Genomic DNA, 1,909 nt, shown 5'->3' with positions numbered 1-1,909 from the left:
GAGGTGGGAGGATCACTTGAATCCAGGAGTTCACAGCTGCAGTAGAGCTATGATTGTGCTGCCGCACACCAGCTCAGATGACAGAGCAAGGTCTTATTTCAAACAAAGAAACAAACCAAATATAAATAAATAAATATTGAAGAATTACTCTATGCCTAGCCTAGCATAGTTTTAAGTACTGGGCATACAGGGGTAAACAAAACATACAAAAATTATCTTCATGCAATTTATGTGTGGCAGAGGTAAAAAGAAAGGAAATAAATATATAGTTACTCAAATGGTGATAAGTCTGCTAGATAATTGTATAGCATGTAAGGGTATAGCGTATGCAGGGGGTGGCTTACTATTTTCTGTAGGGTGGTCTTCGAAGGTCTCATTCTTAGGAGACATTGAGCAGGAGCTGAAAGAAGAAAAGTAATGAGTTGTGTCGACGTGAGAGGGATGAGAATTGTCCTCATTGAGAATGCATGTGCAAAGGTGAGCTTGGAACTGTTCACCCTGTTTTATGAATAGTGAGAAGTCCTCTGGCTAGACAGCAGGAGCAATGGGGTGACTAAATGATGAGCAGCTCATATAGGGAATGGAGCCTGATTATATAGGTCCTTACAGGCCATTTAAAATTTTTACCTTTGTGTTCACTGAAATAAGAAGACTTTAGATAATTTTGAGTAGAATTACAACAATATCTATTTGAAGCTATGAAGAAATGATTCTTTCCTCAATGGTGGAAGCTTGAAAGAGGGGAGTGACATAGCTGTGGGAAAGGCACAGAGCCCTGCTCAACACAAAGGGGAAAAGGTTTTAAGCCACTTGGGAGAACAGCAAATGTTATCACATCCAGGATACAGGTAAATTTAGGTTTTAAATATGGGCAAATTGGCTAATGCAAGTTGATAACCATCATCTTTAAAATCCTGAGCTTTGGCCTCCATGGCATTATTTACCTATCTTAAATTCCCAGCTTTCTTGAGCCCAGTGCCTTATATTCATGGAAGCTTTGAGACAAAGTTTGCTGATTTCTACGACATAGGAAACATTTGAAATTTTAATGGTGATGGCAGAATATCTGTCACTTACCTTGGACATATGTGATATATTAAGTTTTCCAGATACTCATTCTAGGGGAGAAAAAAAGATACTCATCAAAATTGTCATAAAATAGTAGACAGCCTACAATCTTAAGGCTGTCATGGTCTATTAAGTACAGCAAACATGCATGGGAAATACTGCATTAGTTTCCCACAAATGAAATATTTTATTAACCCCTCTTTTCTTCTCCTGGCTAAAAAAGTCAAAATTGTTCTTACTTACCTCCTTATTTATTCTTACTCAAACTTCAAATCTTTCGGTTATTTTTGCAATGTCTCTCCTTACTCCTAGCTATTACACAGGTTATAAAATCCAGAACCCTGTTCCAGACAGGTTTTAACAGTACTTGTAAGTGTGGTAAAATGATTATATTATTATTAAGTTCCAGAACTTTGAATAATGTGAAAGAGACTATGTGTGTTTTACATTTTGCTATATTAACTAACTTTTAGTTTGTGCTATTTTATTGATACCCACTGTTTTCTCATTCTTACAATGAACTAAAGGAGTGAATATGAATATACCTAATAGTGATAGGGACCAAACCATATTGTCTGGTTCTTGTGATATTTTTGAGACAATAGGTATTTTTTTAATTCCTTGTTTTGCTATATTTACCAAGCTACCTATTGCTACAAATAGGTGCATACAAAGCGAATGGTTAATTCTCTTTCACTTAATAGGTGTAATTTGTGTAATTAACTGTGGTTTAAAACACGTAATAATCATCTCATCATTTTCTTAGTGCTATTGTCTCTGTGTGCACCCACTGATCTTAACAAGCCACAAGAATCGCAGCATTATGCCCTCGGTACAGTTC

General features: G+C 36.2%; 1 annotated feature.

Annotated features, from left to right (window-relative positions):
• Positions 1,093–1,262: an enhancer, noted in NCBI's record as "experimental_93679 CRE fragment used in MPRA reporter constructs". NCBI's record gives its function as "activates a minimal promoter by MPRAs in K562 erythroleukemia cells, with activity observed for the introgressed 6:66517697 variant allele {active_cell/tissue: K562}" and the evidence as "EXISTENCE:reporter gene assay evidence [ECO:0000049][PMID:34662402]".

The sequence above is a fragment of the Homo sapiens genome, chromosome 6 (assembly GCF_000001405.40).
Source record: "Homo sapiens chromosome 6, GRCh38.p14 Primary Assembly".
NCBI classification, from domain to species: domain Eukaryota; kingdom Metazoa; phylum Chordata; class Mammalia; order Primates; family Hominidae; genus Homo; species Homo sapiens.
This window is presented reverse-complemented; position numbering and strand designations above follow the sequence as displayed.